Source organism: Homo sapiens, chromosome 3 (assembly GCF_000001405.40).
Source record: "Homo sapiens chromosome 3, GRCh38.p14 Primary Assembly".
NCBI lineage: Eukaryota > Metazoa > Chordata > Mammalia > Primates > Hominidae > Homo > Homo sapiens.
The window spans coordinates 14,234,614-14,254,112 of record NC_000003.12 but is presented as its reverse complement, the minus strand read 5'-3'; the positions used below and the strand labels follow the sequence as shown (position 1 = coordinate 14,254,112).

Here is a 19,499-nt window from a genome sequence, read left to right as displayed (position 1 = left end):
GTGGGGCCAGAATCTGCTCAAAAATAAGATTTTAATTCTACACCCAAGATCGGCTGTTGATACAACATGGAATAAAAGTGATGTGGGAGAAGTGAAAAGTATCTCTGCTTTCTCCCCAGTTCCTCAAAGACAAGTCTCCCTGTTGACTAAAACACCCATGCAGCTCCCATTAGAACAGAGACCCTGTCAGCCTCCTGTCTTGCTGGAAGGCTATTGAAGATGCAGATGGGAACCACATGCAAGACATCCTCCAGCCACACTCACAGCATTCCAGCCAGAGGGAATGGAAGAGAACTCAGACCTCCTTAGTGTCACCCTTGGGACACAGGCAAAGACATTCCCAAAGATCTAAGGCCTCAGACCAGGCCATCTGAGAACAAAAAGATGGAAAGTCCCAGATCTCAGGGCTGGGCCGTCAGGCAGAAAACAGCCCACAGTCGGTAAGCACACTGTAGACTCCAGAAAGCCCAGTCATCCCGGACACAAAACTGAGGCATGCCTAGCATGCGCTTAGGGCTGCCTTCAGACAAAACTCTCTTGGCAGTGGATGAGAGAAGTCCTAGCAGAAGCTGGACCTCGTGCCATCCCTCAAATTTCAAACTGGGCCGCTTATGTGGTGATTGGTAGTTAATCCACTCAGCTGGGACCCTGGGCCTTCTGGCTGTCTGGAAGGCAGGCAGAGGAGGATTTGGGTTCTGGCTACTCAGCCAAAGTCCAGTGACCACTGGAAAATTGTGCAACAGACATACCACGCCTGCCCAGGTCTTTCCAGCATACCGGCCCCAAGGCCTTCCCACAGCCTTGCTTGACTCACCCTGCACCTCTTGGCTGAGTGAGCCCCACCTTCTAATGCCTCCAGTTCTACTGTGCGACCAATCTTCCCATTTAGGGCCCACCCTACTTCGCCCAGCACAGAAGATGCCTCCACTGTTTTCCAACCTGGACATCTTGCTCCCACCCTACCCCCTCTGTTGCCCCCACCAGTTTCTCCCCAGTCCCACAACCAGGACCTAGCAGGGAGGCCCAGGGGCTGGGGCCATTGTCCCAAGCACATCTGAAGGGTATGAGCACCTTGTAACGCCCTTGAATGCTTCCTGGTAGAGATGATGAAGTAACTGCTCAACTCAGCTATCTGACCTTCACCCACTGGGGTCAGCTGTGGAAGATTAGAGGATGCAAGTGGGTGGCAGCGTCTTCCTACCCTCCAGACACTCCTAGTTCTTGAGGTGAGGCTGACACACAAGAAAGGAATGACCACCCAGCACCGGGGACACATTTCAGGCTGCACGAGAAAGAGGGCCTCCCTCAAGTCCGCACAAGGTAATCGGGTCTTCATTGGAAGCAAGTACAGCTCAGGGTCGTGGAGATTCAGGGACAGGCTTGGAACCCAGGTGGCCTTATAGGATATGGAAGTCAGGGCTGAAAACAAACTGAGTAAAATGCAAAACAGCTGCCTCGCTGGGGCCACACATGGCAATCGGCCTCTCTCTGTCTCTTTCCCTAGCTCTCTCTGTGTCTACCTCTCTCAGTCTCTTCCTTCGTCTGTCACTCTTGGGCTCTCTGCCCTCCTCTTCGTCTCTCTCTTAGCCTTCCTTTATCTCTCTCTTTCCCCTTTTCCTCCTCTCTTCTTTCTTCTCTCTTTCTGCTTCACCTTCTTGCCACCGACTGGCTTCCTCTGCTTTCATTCTGCTTCTGCTCCCCATGACTGTACCTGGCCAGTGTCCAGTGCCCAGGTCTGTGAATTCCTGTCCTGGCCCCTCTGGCCACAGCACACTGCCCCCAAAGGAGCCCACAGAAGTGAGGCTGCAGAGTAGCTGCACTCTACCCCAGAACCCTAAAGGCAAGAGAATTAGAAGAAGCTCAGAGAGGATCTAGTCCAGCTAAAAAACAATTAAGATGTAATTTATATACAGTAAACTGCATACATCTTAAATGTGCAGGTTGATGGCTTCTACATGTCTACATGCACATAATGCCACTCACATCAAGACCTGCCACATCTCCAGCTCCTCTGAAAGTTCTTCTCCCTATCCAGTCAATTCCTACCTTCCCAGAGGCAGCAACTGGTCTGAATCTTTTCACCATGTTTTTTTTTTTGTTTTGTTTTGTTTTTTGAGATGGAGTCTCGCTCTGTTGCCCAGGCTGGAGTGGAGTGGCCCAATCTCGGCTCACTGCAAGCTCCGCCTCCCGGGTTCACGCCATTCTCCTGCCTCAGCCTCCCGAGTAGCTGGGACTACAGGCACCCGCCACCATACCTGGCTCATTTTTTGTATTTTTAGTAGAGATGGGGTTTCACCATGTTAGCCAGGATGGTCTCGATCTCCTGACCTCGTGATCCGCCCACCTCGGCCTCCCAAAGTACTGGGATTACAGGCGTGAGCCACTGCGCCCGGCCTGTTTTCACCATGTTCTAAAACTCCTTTTGCAACATTCTGACAGTAAGAGAAATCTGACATAATTGACTCCATCTTGCTTCTAACCTCCAAGCTGTCCTTGGTCAATTATGGTGTGGACCAAGCTAACCTTGGGAGGAATTTATAGTTTGACCTATAGCAAGGATGATGATAACCTATCCCAAAATTAAATTGCCTTTGTAAAACTAATGAAAGACCACAAGGTTAGGGCTGTGAGGGGGGCCTGAATTCTGCTAAGATGTATGTGTAGTTAAATGTAACCAGCCATTGTCCCAGAGGTCACAAGATTTGGAACGTCCCCTCTTACTCCTGTAGATAACATCACTATTGCAGAGCCTAAGATTGACCTTTTGGGATGTCTTTTCAGACTCTTGCATTTCTCATAACTGGCTGACTCCACCCAGACCTGTGATTCATCCAGTTCTGTGGCCCCCACCCAGAGGCAGACTCAGCACCTGAAGACCGTCTTCCATACTCTTGTGATTTCATCCCCAACCAATCAACATTCCCCATTCCTTAGACCCCTCCACACCAAACTATCCTTGAAAAACCCTAACCTCTGAGCCTTTGGGGAGACTGATTTGAGTAATAACTCTGTCTCCCGCATGACTGATCTCCTGTCAATGAAATGTCTTTACTGCAATACCATTATCTCAGTAAATGGATTTTGTCTGTGCAGTGGGCAAGAAGAACCTGTTGGGTGATTACAGATTTGTCCAGTGCTGTCCAAGGGAGAGAATATAGTCATGGGTTCTTAGTTTCTCTTTCTGGTTGGGCCAGTAAATCCCCTTCCTCATCCCTCTTTTCCGCTTATCACTAGAGACAGAGGTGAAAATCCATGGCTTCAGACTGCTAAAAGCCTAAAACAAAACAAAACAAAACAAAACAGAGCAGCAACAACAGCAAAAACAACAACAAAATAAGGTGGACTGGACCAGCTTAAGCTCATAGACCTTATTTAAGTGGACTCACACTGGATGCAGGCCTCTGACTCGGGCGCATTATGCTCAGCGTGGTGTATTGTTGTGTGTATCTGCAGTGTCTTAGTCTGCTTGGGCTGTCATAACAAACACCACTGGCTGGGGGGCTTAGATGACAGAAATTCATTTTCTCACAGCTCCAGAGGCTGAAGTCCATGATCAAGGTGCCAGCCAATTTGGTTTGATGAGGGCTCTTTTCTTGACTTGCAGACAGCCACCTTTCTTGCTATGTCTTCATGCAGCCTCCTCTCAGTGTGTACATGGAGTGAGGGAGAGGGGGTGAGGAGAGGGAGGGGGAGGAGAGAGGAGGAGGAGGGTGCTTTCTGGTGTTTCCTCCATAAGGACACCAATCCTACTGAATTAAAGCTTCACTTAACCTTAATTATGACCTCAGTTAACCTTAATTACTTCCTTAGAGGCCTCATCTCCAAATATAGACATACTGGGGTTAGGGCTTCAGCATACACATTCTGGAGGGTCAGAAACATTCTGTCCATAACAAGCAATTTGTTCCCTTCATGGTTGAGTTGCAGAGTAGTATTCCATTACATGGATTTGTTGTATGAATATATCTCAACTGGTTTGTTCACCACCTGTTGAAGGACATGAAGTTTGTTTCCAGTTTGGGGCTATTTATTATGAATGAGGAGAACATTTGTATAACAGTCTTTGTGTGGATCTGGATTAACCAACAAAGGGAATAACCTGGAGCACACGAATGAAAACTCCACTGGTGGTGAAGTCTTCAGGAATGGCTCCATCCAGAGGCTCCAGACCGCACTCCATTTCTCTACTATGCTTTCAGCTATATCTTTGTGTATGCGTGAGGCTGACCTTTCCATCCCTTCTTACAGCTCAGTGTTTCTCTTTTGCTTACTCAATCAGCAAACATTTATGGAGCCAGCTCCATGCCAAGCACTGCACTATGAGTGGGAAACAATGGGTGAGTAAGCTCTGTCCTTGCCCTCTTGGAGCATATGGTCTAGTGAGAGACACGGACAGATGGACACATAAGCCCACAAGTGCTATATACAAGCCCACACCTCCAAGTGAGAAGAAGGATTCTGTAAGATGAAAGTCCAGCTACTCGGGAGGCTGAGGCAGGAGAATGGTGTGAACCCGGGAAGGGGAGCTTGCAGTGGGCCGAGAACACGCCACTGCACTCCAGCCTGGGCAACAGAATAAGACTCCATCTCAAAAAAAAAAAAAAAAAAAGATGAAAGGGAGAGATGTCAGTGACTCTCCTCTCTGGGGACAATGGGGTCAGGCCACAGAGTCTTTTGTTGCTTTCAGCTCTGTGTTTTTCTCTGTTGCATCCGTCTTCCTGTAGCGGCCCCAATGAAGTCTCCTAGATGTCAGATGTCCACACAGAGCCTATTTGTTTGCTTCTGATCACAGACTTGTTTGCAAAGCAAGGCTTGTGAAAGCATTTCCAGTCCAACTAGATGATTAAAACCCTGCAGGAGAATTTCATGTCCTTGGGGCTGGGGAACTCAATGTTCCACATTGGTGTTTCTCTCTCCTTAAGGACCTTCCATGCAGCTGCTGGGGCTGGTGGGATGGATTATTTATTGGCCTGATTAAATGTGTCCTTAAGCTATAAAACTGGTGCCAGAGTCTTGGGCCACACTTCCAGCACGAGACTGATTTGTCTCCTGAGGGAAGAGCTCTAAGAATTGTGGCCTGTCTCTCCTCCCACATGATTTCAGGACTGGGAGATTCTGGATAAGCACGAGTGTTCTGCCCCAAAGGGTTTTTACTCAAGGGAGTCTTCATTTTACAACTATTCCATTTATGCCTGATGCACACCAGGCATTGGGCCAGACTCTGGGCACAGCAACAAGCAGGACAGACTCGGTCTCTCCCCAGAGGAGCTCAGAGCCTGGCGGGGGCAGATACCCATGAAACCATCACTCATGTATTACATACGTAAGTATAAACCATGGTGACTGCCACAAAAGAGGGACACAGGGTTTTTAAGTGACCATATCAGGGGGACTAGACTTAGATGAAGTGTCCAGTGACATCTCAACTATGGAGATCTGAAGGATGAGCACAGGAAGGGAGGGGAGGCAATGGAACAGCACATGCAAAGGCACCAAGGGAAGAGGAATCAGGGCACAGTGAGGAGGTGTGAGGAGGTAAGAGGAACAGCATGGGCTGAGCAGAATGAGAACGGGGAAGAGTGGTTCAAAAGGGTAGAGGGCCAGTCACACCAGGCCCTGTGGAGTCTAGAGTTTATTCTTAGAGCCCTGGGGAGCCATGCAGGTGTGAGCAGAAGGTTGGTGTCCCTGCTCTCCTTGACCACCGCATGAGACCTCCCACAGGCAGGCTCTTCCTCTGACCCTTCCTGCTGCAGGGTCTTTCTAAAGCATCTCTTATCCCACCATTCCCAGCCTTAGAACCTTCCAATAACTCTTTACTGTGGATGCAACGTCAAATCTCCTTAGCGAGGGCTTGAGGTCAGAATAGTTGGTCAAGACTTTGAAGAACAAGCAAGTGACTGGGAGTTTGTTGGAAGTCATTGTTTGCTGTCTTTCTTTTCCTTTGAATAATGTAGTGCTATGCACTCCTTTTGGGCAGAAGTCATGATACAACCTTTTCTTATATTCCCAACAGAGGCCAAAACATGGGCAATATTGTCATCCTCATCATCATTATCATCTTCATCATGGGCTCCATTAATTAGGCCAAGCATTTTATACGCTGTATTGGTTAGCTGTTGCTGTGGAACTTAACAGCCTAAAATAGTGATTTATTATCACAACCATTTATTTTGGTCACAATTCTGTGGGTTGGCAGTACAAGTTGGGTTTGGTGGGGTAGTTCTTCTGGTGTTGACTGGCCTCTCTAACATGTCTGTGGTTAACTGTGGGCCAGCAGGCTGCCCCTGCTTCTGGGGATTGATTGACTGTTGGCTGGGTCAGTGGGGATGACTGATTAATATGTCTTCATCCTTCAGGTGAGATTGGGCCTCTTCATATGGTAGTGGCGAGGTCTCAGCATAAGAAGAGATACCTACTCAAAGTGAGAAGGGATAGTTAGTTGGCCACATCGAGTTACAAGGCCATCCATATTGAAGAAAGTGAAGAAAGAGACTCTGCCGCTTGACAGGAAGCAAGGCAAAAGGACATGGATATGGCAGGTTGTGAAAAATTGGGTCACTTTTGAAAACAATCAATTTCACAGGTATTATCTCATTTCCTCAAAAAGACAAAGTCAAAGCTCAGTTTTACAGGTAAAGCAGCTGAGGCACAGAGAAGAAAAGGAGCTTGCTCAAGGAGCTGCTAATAGAGTTGAGATTCAAACCCCGGTGTTTATCACTCTACAGACAACACGTTATTAACCCCTGTGAGTTACTGCCCACTCCACTCACAGACAAAGACCTAAGGAGGTCAGCATCCCAGGAGGCCACTGTCTTTGTCATCATTGCCATCATCATCACCATCATCACATTTATTGAATATCTGTGATGTGCAGATGCTATCAGTGCTTTACATGGATTAATTCATTTATTATAATTCACCCAATGTCCCTATAAGATGTACATTAATGATTTTCCCATGTAACGTGGGTCAGGATTAGAAATTTCATGACGACTTCACTCATTTTGATATTCCCTCTATAGCACAATATCTGGCACATAGGTCATACCCTCTTGCCATATGTTTGCTGAATGAATGAGGGCAGAAGTAGGGGAGTGAACAAGACTCAAGGCAAACAATCATTAGCCCAAAGTCACACAAAGCAGGACTAGATCTCAAGATCCCCCATCTCCTTGCCATGTGGCCCCTGGGCAGCCTTGTTACCTGGATCTGCTGCTGCTCCACTCCCCCAAGGTGGCTGAAAATAGAAAACAAGATTCGGGATGTGCTGTTCGGTCTTCCAGCAGGTGCCCCCAAACCAAACATAGTCCCAGAAACGTAAATCTGAGAATGTTTTGAAACTACCTAGCACAGTGGAGAGAGCACTGGGCTCAGAGTCTGAAGACCCATGTGTGCCACCCTTGGTTGATGTGTGATCCTGGATGGGTCACTTGGAGAAGACCAGACTTTCCTCATCAGAAATCCAGGGCTTCAGATTTTACATCCTGTTTACATTCCAGGACTGTGCGGGAGATAAGAGGAGCTCACAGATGCAAACTCTCCGTGAAGCTTGTACTTGACTCAACTCATGGACCTCTCCGGGTTTGCTCAGCTCCACTGGTTGCACCCCCACCAACACCCCCAGCCTCACTTACTTGCTCAGGGGAGCACAGGCCCCACACCAGCTCATCTCCTAATTGCCACGGGCTCCACCTCCCACGGGGCAACGTCTGCACCTAGGCCTGGCCTCTTACCTTCCGTGGAACCACAGCAACTCTGGTGCCCTGGTCCAACCTGACTGGTCATGCAGAGGCTCTGGCTTGTCTCACTGTTTCTAGACCCAGATGAAGCACTCTGCCCTGAGATGTAGCATGTGGCTTCCCCAGCAGCTGTCTGAAGGGGCCACAACACTTTCAGGGGAGTTAAGGCCCGTAGGGTCAATTTGGACCAGTGAAAGACAGATGATGGAAAATCACCAGGAGATGCCTCTTTCTTCCTCTGCTAGTCTTGGCTCTCTGGAGATGTTACATGGCTGAGTGACCTGGTGTGCTTTGCTCTGAAGCTGTGACATGCTCAATCATGCACCACCCTGTGTTTTCTTTCTCTCCTTCCCTGCTTCACTTCCCGTCTTCCCTCAGTCTTCCCCCAGCTCACACCCTGGAATGACACACAGGTACCTGAGCTTCACTGGAGAATCTGTGGGTTAGGTAACCTAGTCGAAGATAAAGAGAAGAATTTGAGAAAGTTGTCAATTTGCAACCACTCAAAAAATCAGAAGAAGACTGTATCTACTGCTGGCAAGGATATGGAGCAACCGGAATGCTCTCGTACGCTGCTGGTGAGAATGTAAAATGGAACAGCCACTTTGGAAAATGGGCAGTTTCTTAAAACATTAAACATACACCTACCATATGGCCCAATCTTTCCACTTCTAGGTATTTATCCAAGAGAGAAAAAAATACATATGTCTACACAAAGACTTGTACGAGAATGTTTATAGCAGCTTTATTTATAATAGCCTCAAACTGGAAACAACTCAAATGTCCCCCAACTGGTGAATATATAGACAAATGGTGGTATATTCATACAATGGAATTTTACTCAGCAATAAAAATGAATAAACTCTGGATACCCACAACATGCGTGAATCTCTAAATAATTATGCTAAGTGAAAAAGGCCAAAGAAAGTACTGTTTGATTCCATTTACATAAAATTCTAGAAGACGCAAACAAATCTATAAAAACAGAAAGTAGGCCAAGGATTGCCTGGGGACGGGGGTGGAGGAGGGGTGGGTTGTAAACAGGAGGGCACGAGGCGACTTTGGGGGCAATGGAAATGCTTGCCATCTTGATTGTGGTGATGGTCTCAACGGACCACCTTCATAAAGATGTGAAAAGGGGGGAAAATCACCAGGCCTATAAGTGAACCCAACCAAATCTTTAGGGAACGATCACTCCGATGCTATTTAAAGCATTTCAGTGCACAGAGAAAGAAGGAAAACTTCCAAATTCCTTTTGTGAAACTAGCATAATTCTGATACAGAAAACCTGGCAAAAGGGGCCCATTAATGAGTGTGCCGCTCTGCGCACACCTGTGGAGTTATTATTGACTCTGTAAATCAGCTACACTGCAGTTGACCTACTTTCACAATTTTTTTCTGTCTTTAGTTTCCAGAAATTTAATTGCATTGTGTGTTCCTGTGGATCTCTTTGGATGCATTCTGTTTGGGGAAAGCAGCAAGCAGGTTTACCAGATGGGATCAAGAGGGAAGAGGAAGGAGGCCAGCCTTGGAGGCTGATCCCAGTGAGAGGGCTTCTCCTAGAGGGGTGCCAGGGCCAGGAGCCTCCAAGACCTGTGCGTGGGCTCACTGATGCCCCTCTCGCCTCTCTCTGCTTGTCCCTCCCACCCTGACCCACCTGCTGCTCTCCACGCCCATGGCTCCCACCTTTGTTTGTATCTCCACTGTCTCTTGCCTTTTCTTTAAAAATCTGACAGTCTCTGAGCCCCCTCTCCCTGCAATCCATCCTCCATGATGCCAGAAATCCAATTATGTAACAGAGCTAGGATCCAGCCACTCCTCTGCTCGCTTCCTGTTAGGGGCTGTGCTGCGTCTCCTTCTCCACCCCAGAAATTTTTATGTTGAAGTCCTAATCCCCAGTATATCAGAGCATGCCCATATCTGGAGATAGGGCCTCTAAAGAGATAGTCAAGTTAAAATGAGGCTGTTAAGGTGGACCCTCATCCAATCTGACTGGAGGTCTTATAAAAGGAGGAGATTGGACACACAGAGACCCCAGGGCTAGGCATATTCAGAGGAGAGACTGTGAAGACACAGTGAGAAGGTGACCACCTGCAAGCCGAGGAGAGAGGCCCTGGGAGAACCCAAACTTGCCAACACCTTGATCTTAGACTTCCGGCCTCCCGAATTGTTAGAAAATAAATGTCTGTTGCTTAAGCCCCCTAGTCTGTGTATTTTGTCATGGAAGCTCTAGCAAACTAATACTGTCCTCATCTCAGACTCTGCTCTCCTGTGGCCCACAGAACAGGTGCAAACTTAGGACTGCACAGCCCAGCACCGCAGCCTCCTTCCCCGCAATGCTCTAGCAACGCTGAAAGGGCTGCACCAAGTTGTTCATGTCTCTGCGTCTCTGCAATGCCACTCCCTCTGCCTGGGGCAGCCTCCCCTCCTTCTTGTCAACAGGCAGAGGCTCTGCTCTGCAGGTCTGACTTGTACATCCACCACCTGCACTCAGCATAGGACCTGGCACTGGGCAGATGCCCCTGAAGGCTTAGAGGGAGGAAACAGAAATGTCAGAGGGGCTGCATTGGTGGACACAGGCAGGCCGGCTTTGTGGTCGTACCACCTGCGACTTACACAGCTTCCAAGTATCTCTTATTTAGGTCAATGTTTTCTTCTTCTTCTTTTTTTTTTTTTCTTGATGCCCAGTAAAGTTCAACTTTATTGTAAATTTTTTGTTTTTTGAGTCGGGGTCTCACTCTGCTGCCCAGGCTGGAGTGCAGTGGTGTAATCATAGCTCACTGCAGCCTGAACTCCTGGGCTCAAGTGATCCTCCTGCCCAAAGTTTTCTTCTTACTTAACCTTGGTTTCTCATTTTTCTACAATGACCATGAACTTTTCATCGTAATAACAAAAAGAAAAAAAAAAGGAGTAATAAAGATAGGACACGTGATGAAAAAAATCACTTTTCAAACACCCAACACATACTGAAAGTACAAATGACATGGTTTTCTTCCATTTTTCATATTATGTTCCTGTCTGCAATCCATAATCATCTCTCTCCAAGTTCAGGAGATCCTCTGAGGCAGGTCCGGTGCTGCTGCGACTCCCCTGAGTAATATGAGCACAGACTTCCCAAGCTCAGATAGGAATCAAATTGTCCTCGGAAGAGACTTGGAGCGGAAGAAGCTGGTGACCTGGAAACACAAAGAAAACCTCAACAAAAGCCTGCTCTCTCACCAAATGGCCAGGAAAAGGCAGCTTAGCAAGAGAGAAAACTTTTAGGCAACCTGTTCTACTCCAGCTAAACACCACACAAATCATACAAAGCAAATGGTGAGTGGGAGCCTAGACGCCCCCACTTGTGAGGCTGTAACAAGGATCCCAGTAGCCTGGCTGGAGCGGTGTCCAAGAAGGCCAAGTAGAGAGCCGAAGGCCTCACCCTCGCTGGCTGGCAATCAGCTCATCCTTCCCCACCCTCATGGAGTCCACCCACATGGAGACTCTGGATTTTCACTCCCACTCAGCAATAATGTGGAGTCTCTCCCTCTCCCCACTCTCCAGTGTGTCCAAGGAGGTCTTGGGAGGGTCAGGACTTTCAGCAGCACCCAGCAGCAATGAGGCCACCTCCATCAAACTGTCAGTGAGACTGCTGGGGAGCAGGAACTCTCTCCCCCAACTTGGCAGTAATAAGAACCCCCACACCTTGGTGTCAGCGGAGGCTGAGTGGGAAACCTGGACTTCTACTTTCACATGTCAGCCACGAGGAGTGCCACACACATGCCCCAGTGAGAACAGTTCAGAGAAAGCTAGCTACAGAGAAGGCTTCCATAAGGCCCCGAGTCTCATCGAAATACAAAAATTTCCAGGTTTTAATAAAAATTCACTTGACATATCAAGAATCAGGAAGATCTCAAATGGAATGAATAAAAGACAACTAATCGATGAAGGTGATGGAGATATTAGAATCATCTGAAAAGGATCTCAAAATAGCCATAATAAAAAGAACAGAAAGAAAGCTATAAAAGGAGGACCTTTGGAACATCAGGAAAAAAGAAAGAATATAACAAAAAAAAAATGGGTAAACCAAACAGGCTTTCCCTTTCCCCCAGATAAGCTTCCCTAAATCATGTTTGATGGATGGAGCAAATATTACAACACCGGCTGCTGTGGTTCCACATGTATGTAGAAGAAAAATTTAAGACAGCTATTAACAGGTGCAGGTAAAGGGACAGAAAGGGAGCTAAGGTTTCTATACTTCACTTAAACTGGTAAAATAATTACATCAGTAGGCTGATAAGTTATGTATACATAATTTAGTACTTAGAGAAACCATCAAAAGTCTATATGAAAAGATACACTCAAATACACTATTGATAAATCAAAACAAAATTACTTTTATTTTTAGAGACAGGGCCTTACTCTGCCACCCAGGCTGGAGTGCAGCAGTGTAATCATGGTTCACTGCATCCTTGGTATCCTGGGCTCAAGTGATCCTCCCACCTCACCCTCCCGAGTAGTTGGGTCTACAGGTACGTACCATGGAACTTGGCTATTTTTTTAAAAGTTTTATATAGAGCCCAAATCTTGCTATGTTGCCCAGGCAGGTCTCTAATTCCTGGGCTCGAGGGATTCTCCCACCTTGGTCTCCCAAAGTGCTGGGATTACAGGCATGAGCCACCATGTCTGTTCCAAAATAGAATTTTAAAAATGCTAGTGTAACCCACAGGAAGGCAGAAGAAAGTAAACAAAGAAATTTAAAACAGAATCTGGGTGCTTATAGTCCTAGCTACTCAGGAGGCTGAGGTGGGAGGATCACTTGAGCCCAGGAGCTCAATGCTGCAGTGAGCTATGATTGCACCACTGTGCTCCAGCCTGGGTGACAGAGTAAAACCCCATCTCATTAACATAATAATTAAAAAAGAATTAAAAAGAAATTAAAAACAGAGAATAAACAGACCATTTAAAAATGACAGACCTAGCTTTATAATATCAATATTTATATTAAATATAAATGGGCCAGCTACACCAATTAACAGACAGAGATTGGCACAGTGGATTAAAAAACATGACCAACTCGGCTGGGCGCGGTGGCTCACACCTGTAATCCCAGCACTTTGGGAGGCCGAGGTGGGCGGATCATGATGTCAGGAGATCGAGACCACTGTGAAACCCCGTCTCTACTAAAAATACAAAAAATTAGCCCGGTGCGGTGGTGGGCACCTGTAGTTCCACCTACTTGGGAGGCTGAGGCAGGAGAATGGCGTGAACCCGGGAGGCGGAGCTTGCAGTGAGCCGAGATTGCACCACTGCACTCCAGCCTGGGCGACAGAGCGAGACTCCGTCTCAAAAACAACAACAACAACAACAAAAACATGACCAACTCTATGATGTCTACAAGAAACTTACTTCAAATATGATAATATAGACTGGTTGAAAGTAAAAGGATGGAAAAAGATACATCATACAAACATTACTTAAATGAAAGGAGGAATGTCTATATTAATAAATGGTAAGGTAGACTTCAAAGGAGAGGAAGTCAGAGACGAGAGGGACATTACATAATGATAAAAAAGATAACCCATCAAGAAGTCATAGCAATCCTAAATGTGTCTACACCAAACAAGGGTTGCAAAATACGTAAAGCAAAAACTGATAGAACTGAAAGGAGAAATAGACAAATCCACAATTATAGTCGAAGACTTTGCACTGCTCTTTCAACAACTGATAGACCAACTGTATGGAAAATCATCAAGGATATAGAAAACTCAACAACACGACCAACTGACAGGATCTAATTGGCATTTATAGACCACTCCACCACTAACAGCTGAGTACGTATTATTTTTAGGTGCCCACAAGACACATATCAAGATAGACCATATCCTAGGCCATGAAAAATGTCACTGAGTTTAAAAGAATTGAAATCAGACACAGTATTTTTTTGAATACAATAGAATCAAACTAGAAATCAATAACAAAAAAAAAAAGTGAAAATTTCCAAACCTGTGGAAAACAAAAAGACATACTTCGAAATAATCAAAGGCAAAGTCTTCAAGGAAACAAAAAATCCATTGAATTGAATGAAAATATACAACATACCAAAATTTATGGGAAACAGCTAACACAGTGCTGAGAAGGAAATTTACAGCACTAAGTGCAAATGTCAGAAAAGAGGAAAAGTCTCAAATCAATCATCTAAGCTCTCATATCAAGAACCTAAAAAAGAAAAGCAAGACAAATCCAAAGCAAACAGAAAAAAGGAAACTATAAAGAGCAGAAATTGATGAAACTAGAAACAGAGAAAATCAATGAAACAAAAAACTGATTCTTCATACAAAATAAATGAAATTTCTAACCCTCTAGCAAAGCTGATAGAGAAAAAAAGAAAAGCCACAAATTACCAACATCAAGAAGGAAACAGAGGATATTCCTACAGACCCTACCCACATCAAAACAATAATAAGGGAATAATATGAACAACTCTATACACATAAATTAGACAACTTAGATGAAATGAAACAACTTCTCGAAATACAAAAACTACCACAACTCACCCAATATGAAATAGATCATTTCAATAGTGCTCCAATATTAAGGAAGTTAAATTTGTAATTTTAAAAAACTGTCAAAAAAGAAATCTCCAAACGTTCAAAGAAGAATTAACATCAATTCTATACAATCTCTTCTAGAAAATAGGAGGGTATTGGCCAGGGTGCAACCACTGAAACAGAACCAGTAAGAGATACATACTAAAGGATTTATTGCAAGGAATGGGCCTACACTACTGTGGAATCTGGCTGGGCACTCTGAAACTGGGCTGTCAGTACAGGCAGTCTGAACCTCTTGGGCACAACATGAAGCTGCAGTCCACAGGCAAAATTTCAGGGAAATTTCACAGGAATTCAGGGAAACTGCAGTTCTGCTTGTAAGATCTTTCAATTGAATTAGGCCCGCCCAGATAACCAAAAATAATCTATTTTAAGACAACTGATTATGAATGTTAATCACATCTACAAAATACCATCACAGCTACACCTAGATTAGTATTTAATTGAATAACTGGGGATGAAAGCCCAGCCAAGCTGTCAGATAAAACTGACCATCACAGTCCACCCTTTGTCAAATTGGCACCCAGATCATCTCCTTAAACCATACATAATTATCCAAATAAACAAGATAGCTAAGTCACACTTCCATCTAACATGATACAAACACCCTGAGTACAACTGAAAACACATTAACCCTTTTCCCAGAGCAGTGTGCAAAGTCCTTGGGTGATGTTCACCCTTCCCTTTGGTAGCCTGTAAATACTGTGATGTAAAGTTAACTATTATTCATACACCTTATGTCATATGATAAGGGCATAAGAAAGGTAAGAAAACAAACATATTTGCTTAACAGATATATACCAACATGTACATAACAAAATAAGGCAGAAATAGTTATAGCTATTACAGTCCTCATTTCTGCAACTGCACATGGTCGTAGCTGGCATTTATAACCACCTTCTTCCACTAACCATTCCATAGTCCCTCTGCCCTCAGCAAGCACCTCAGCTGGTCATGCTTTTTTACCTCGTAGAGTGACCCAAACTTTCATTTTTGAAGGGTGTAGGCCATTAATAGCTCTGCCTGAATTGGGTTGACAGGACATGGTAGTACTAAGAGAAGCCCTAATAGAGCTCTTGTATTTCAGGCATGTTCTTCCTTTCCTTACCAATGGCAATATTTGGCATATCTCTATTGCTATGGCATGCCATGTACTACCAGTGTCCTCTTTGCCAGGGGTCCCCAACCCCTGGGCTGCGGATCGGTACTGGTCCGTGGCCTCTTAGGAACCGGGCCATACAGCAGGAGATGAGGGGCAGGCGAGTGAGCATTACCACCTGATCTCCACCTCCTGTCAAATCAGCAGCAGCATTAGATTCTCACAGTGTGAATCTTATTGTGAACTGCACATGCAAGGGATCTAGGTCGCGTGTTCCTTATGAGAATCTAATGTCTGATTATCTGAGGTGGAACAGTTATATCCCTAAACCATCCCCCAACCCAACCATCTGTGGAAAAATCGTCTTCCATGAGACGGGTCCATGATGCCCAAAATGTTGGAGATGGCTGTTCTTTGCCACTGAAAACAGAGTCATTAGTGTTTTAAAATCTAATCAGATTAGAGAACCAATTCCAGAAGACCTTGAACTGATTTGGAAAACTCTTCCTTAAGATCGCGATCCTCTAGAGTGACTTCTAGTACCAAAGTCTGTATCAGCCAGGGTTCGAACAAAAAGAGCCAGTAGGAGATACATATTAAGGGATTTATTGCAAAGAATTGGCCTACATGATTGTGGAGACTGGAGGGCTGTCAGGAAGGGGAGGCTGGACTTGGGCATGAACTGAAGCTGCTGTCCACAGGCAGAAGTTCTTCTTCAGAGAAGCCTCAGTTCTGCTCTTAAGGACTTTCAACTGATCAAAGCAGGCCCACACTGATTATCTGGGGTAACCTCCTTTACTTGAAGTCAACCGTTCACCTTTGTCCTAATGATGCCATGAAGAAGACCCAGAATGTACATTTTCTACCACTCAGCTGTGTCTAACACAGCTAAAAAGTGTAGGACCTGATCCCGAATTGCCTTTTCTGGAAGCATTTCTGCAAGGAGTTGAGCCAATTCATTCTGGGAACGTCGTTCTGGGGAGCCGGCTGGAGCTAGAGAAGCTGGAGAGGGAAACTGGCTTGGCCAGCCCTTTACAAACAGCCCTTGTCCAAGTGGCCCCTATCCCAGGAGCTGGATATTGAGACTCGGCATCCACTGTGCAGCCAGTGCCGGTTTAATCATTCCTGCAGCCAGCAGGGAAGGTGCTATGATACCCAGTTTATAGATGAGGCTCAGAGAAGGGTATTTATTCAAGGTCACACATTAAGTGACTAACCAAGCTGTTGAACTCCAAATCCACCCTCCTTCTATTATAATGGAACCCATGACCTCTGATCCAAAGACCTCAAAGAGCCCAGTACCTTTATACCATTGAGAAGAGTGGTATTAGGGGACCCCAGAAGATAGGGGATGAGGACTGCTCTCAGTCCATGTGTGTTGGTGAGTTTATTCAATGAGAGTCCCACATTCATGTGGCTGTAGAAATTTGCTCAGACACGGGCATGTGACTCAAACTAGGCCAATGAGAGTTAGTCCTGGGACTTTTGCTGAAACCATTTAGAAAAGATGCCCTCTTTCTGTTGAGACTCTGTGGAGTAGATAGAATGTTAGCTTGAAGCTCCTGATGGCATCCTGCCATTTCATAGGGAAAAATCTACTTGCTACTGCAGTCAAGCCAGGGAAAAGCAGAGCCAAGACACGGAGAGAGATTAATTTCTGAGAATCTCTTTGGAGGGTCTGGATTCAGCCATGCCTCCGTAGGCCTTGATTTACACAACACCCTTGACACACAGCTCATCACCTTTTTAGTTGCCCTTCTGTTCTTGGGCTGAAACCTACCTCCCTAGAACTTACACTGACTAGTTCTAGCTCTACTAATCCAAGGGGCAGCAGAAGGCTCTGAAGGCAAATAAATGGGTTTCAAATCCCAACTCTGGCATTTCCTCTTCAAATGTCAATTTAAAATTGGGAGGAGAATACCTACATTAGAGGGATGTTGTGGGGATGAAGGACTATCACAAGTGCTTTGTTTTGGTTATATTGTCATATTGCCACTCTTATAGTCATTGTTATCTGATTGTGAGTGCCCAGACAGCAGGGACCTTGTTTTATTTCACTCAGCCTCCCGAGTACCTGACAATAGTTGGCACAGAGTAGGTGCTCAATAAATTCTGGTTGAAATAAGCTCCACCAGAGAGAGCTACTTGGGGACAGCTGTGATATCATTCCAAATCATCTGTTCTTGTCCCTGCTCTCATCCTCACCATGTCTTTACACAACGTGGATGGTTTTCCTTCTTTAAAAAATTGTACCAACTCAATTATTTTGTGAATATTTGTCAGTTACAAACAAAAGAATGAAAATAAGCTACCACAGTACCAAAAACCCAGATGTTTGGGGTTAGTTTTCTAATACAATACTCAACTATTTTACTTATTTCATGTTTTTCTTAAGAAACAAAACAAAAGCAATCTGCCCTGCAATTTGGACACTAGATCTTTTTCTCACAGCGCCTCTTGCCGTCTGCTGGGAGTGGTGTGGGCACGCTTGGCAATCATGAGCAGCTGCTGACATGGGACAAGCGGGGAATGGGAAGCAGCTGCTTGGCCCATGCTGTCTCCTAAGCCCTAAATTGGTGACGAGGTGTCGCAGACAAAAGACAGGCAGTTTTGGTTTGGGTGGAGGCTCCAGAAGCAGCAGTGAACTCCTCTTGCCAAGTTCACCCGGCAAAGCAGAGTCTGCCTGGCTGGCCACAGTGTGCCGGGCAGCCACTGTCCTTAGAAGCAGTGTGCACCCAGAAAGATAAGCCCACCAGGCTGAGCCACCATCTCCCTCTGTCTGATGGAGGGACAGAGGGAGGAGGAAACATCAGCCGAAAGGCACTGATGCAAAGCAGAGACCTCATCTTCATCTCTTGTCCCACAGTGGCCTTGTAGCTCCATGTCATGATGCCACCCCACACAGCAGCCAGAATCAGTCACCTTCTGAAAACACAAACTAAATCAGACATCAGCAAACTTTCCTGCAAAAGGCCAGAAAGAGAGAAAGTATTTTAGGCTTTGTGGGCCAGCTGGTTTCTGTCACAACTGCTCAGCTCTGCCTTGTAGTGTGAAAGCAGCCATAGACAACATGTAAATGAATGGGTGAGGCTGTGTTCCAATAAAACTTTATTTACACAAACAGTAGGTGGGCCAACATGACCTGTGGGCTATAGTTTGCCAGCCCCTGGATTCTATCATTGGACCCTCTGTCATGGCTCCTCATCCTCTCAGAATAAAAGCCAGCTACTAACTGGGGGCTTCAAGGAGCTGCCTAGCTTGGCCCCTGCTGACCTCTCTTCCTAGACGTCACTCCCTGGTCACAAGCCAAGCTCATTCCTGCCTCAAGGCCTTTGCACTCACGGTTTCCTCTACCTGTAACACTCCCCTACCCCCACTCCACACTTTCATATGACTCACACAGTCCCAGTATTAGGTCTTAACACAAATGCCATTTCCTCAGAAAGGCTTTCTGTCCCCTCAGCCCTCTGAAGTGACTGTCACCTCCCTTCCAGTCCCTTTTATCACAGCACCTTGTTTCATGTTCTGCATAGCACTCATCACACTTTGAAATGATCTCTTCTGTTTAGTTGTTTCCTTTTTTATTGTCGTTCTCACCCCTAAGCTCTGGCAGGGTAGGGAGCCTCATCTCCAGTGCCTGCTGCCCATACAGTTGGAGTACAGGAAATATTTGGAGAATGAATGAATATGCGAATGGATGGAGACCTCAGTAGCCTCCTAACTTGTCTCCCTCATCCCCTCCCTCCCTCAGTTTCATCACCCACTCTGCGGACAGAGATATCTTCTAAAAATGGTTATCACATCATGGCCTGTCTGCATCAAACTCTCTAATAACTTCCCATTGCTCTTAGAATAAAACTTAAACTTTGCACCATCGCCCCAGAGACTCTGCAAAGAGGGCCTCCTGGCTGCTTCTCCCAGTCCGTCTCTCCCATTCTGAAGAGGACGCTGCCTGTAGGGTCCATCGATGTGACCCCAAAGGGTGCCACTTGGCGCTAAAGGTGTTTTTGCACTGATATCAGAAAATAGGTTATGTTCCAGGAATCCTCTCTGAATAAAAGAATGAGGCCA

At 45.8% G+C, this 19,499-nt stretch overlaps 1 annotated feature.

Annotated features, from left to right (window-relative positions):
- Positions 645–1,844: an enhancer, noted in NCBI's record as "CDK7 strongly-dependent group 2 enhancer chr3:14293769-14294968 (GRCh37/hg19 assembly coordinates)". NCBI's record gives its function as "activates an origin of replication core promoter dependent on BRD2, BRD4, P300/CBP, MED14 and CDK7 cofactors, with strong dependence on CDK7, by STARR-seq in HCT116 cells {active_cell/tissue: HCT116}" and the evidence as "EXISTENCE:reporter gene assay evidence [ECO:0000049][PMID:35650434]".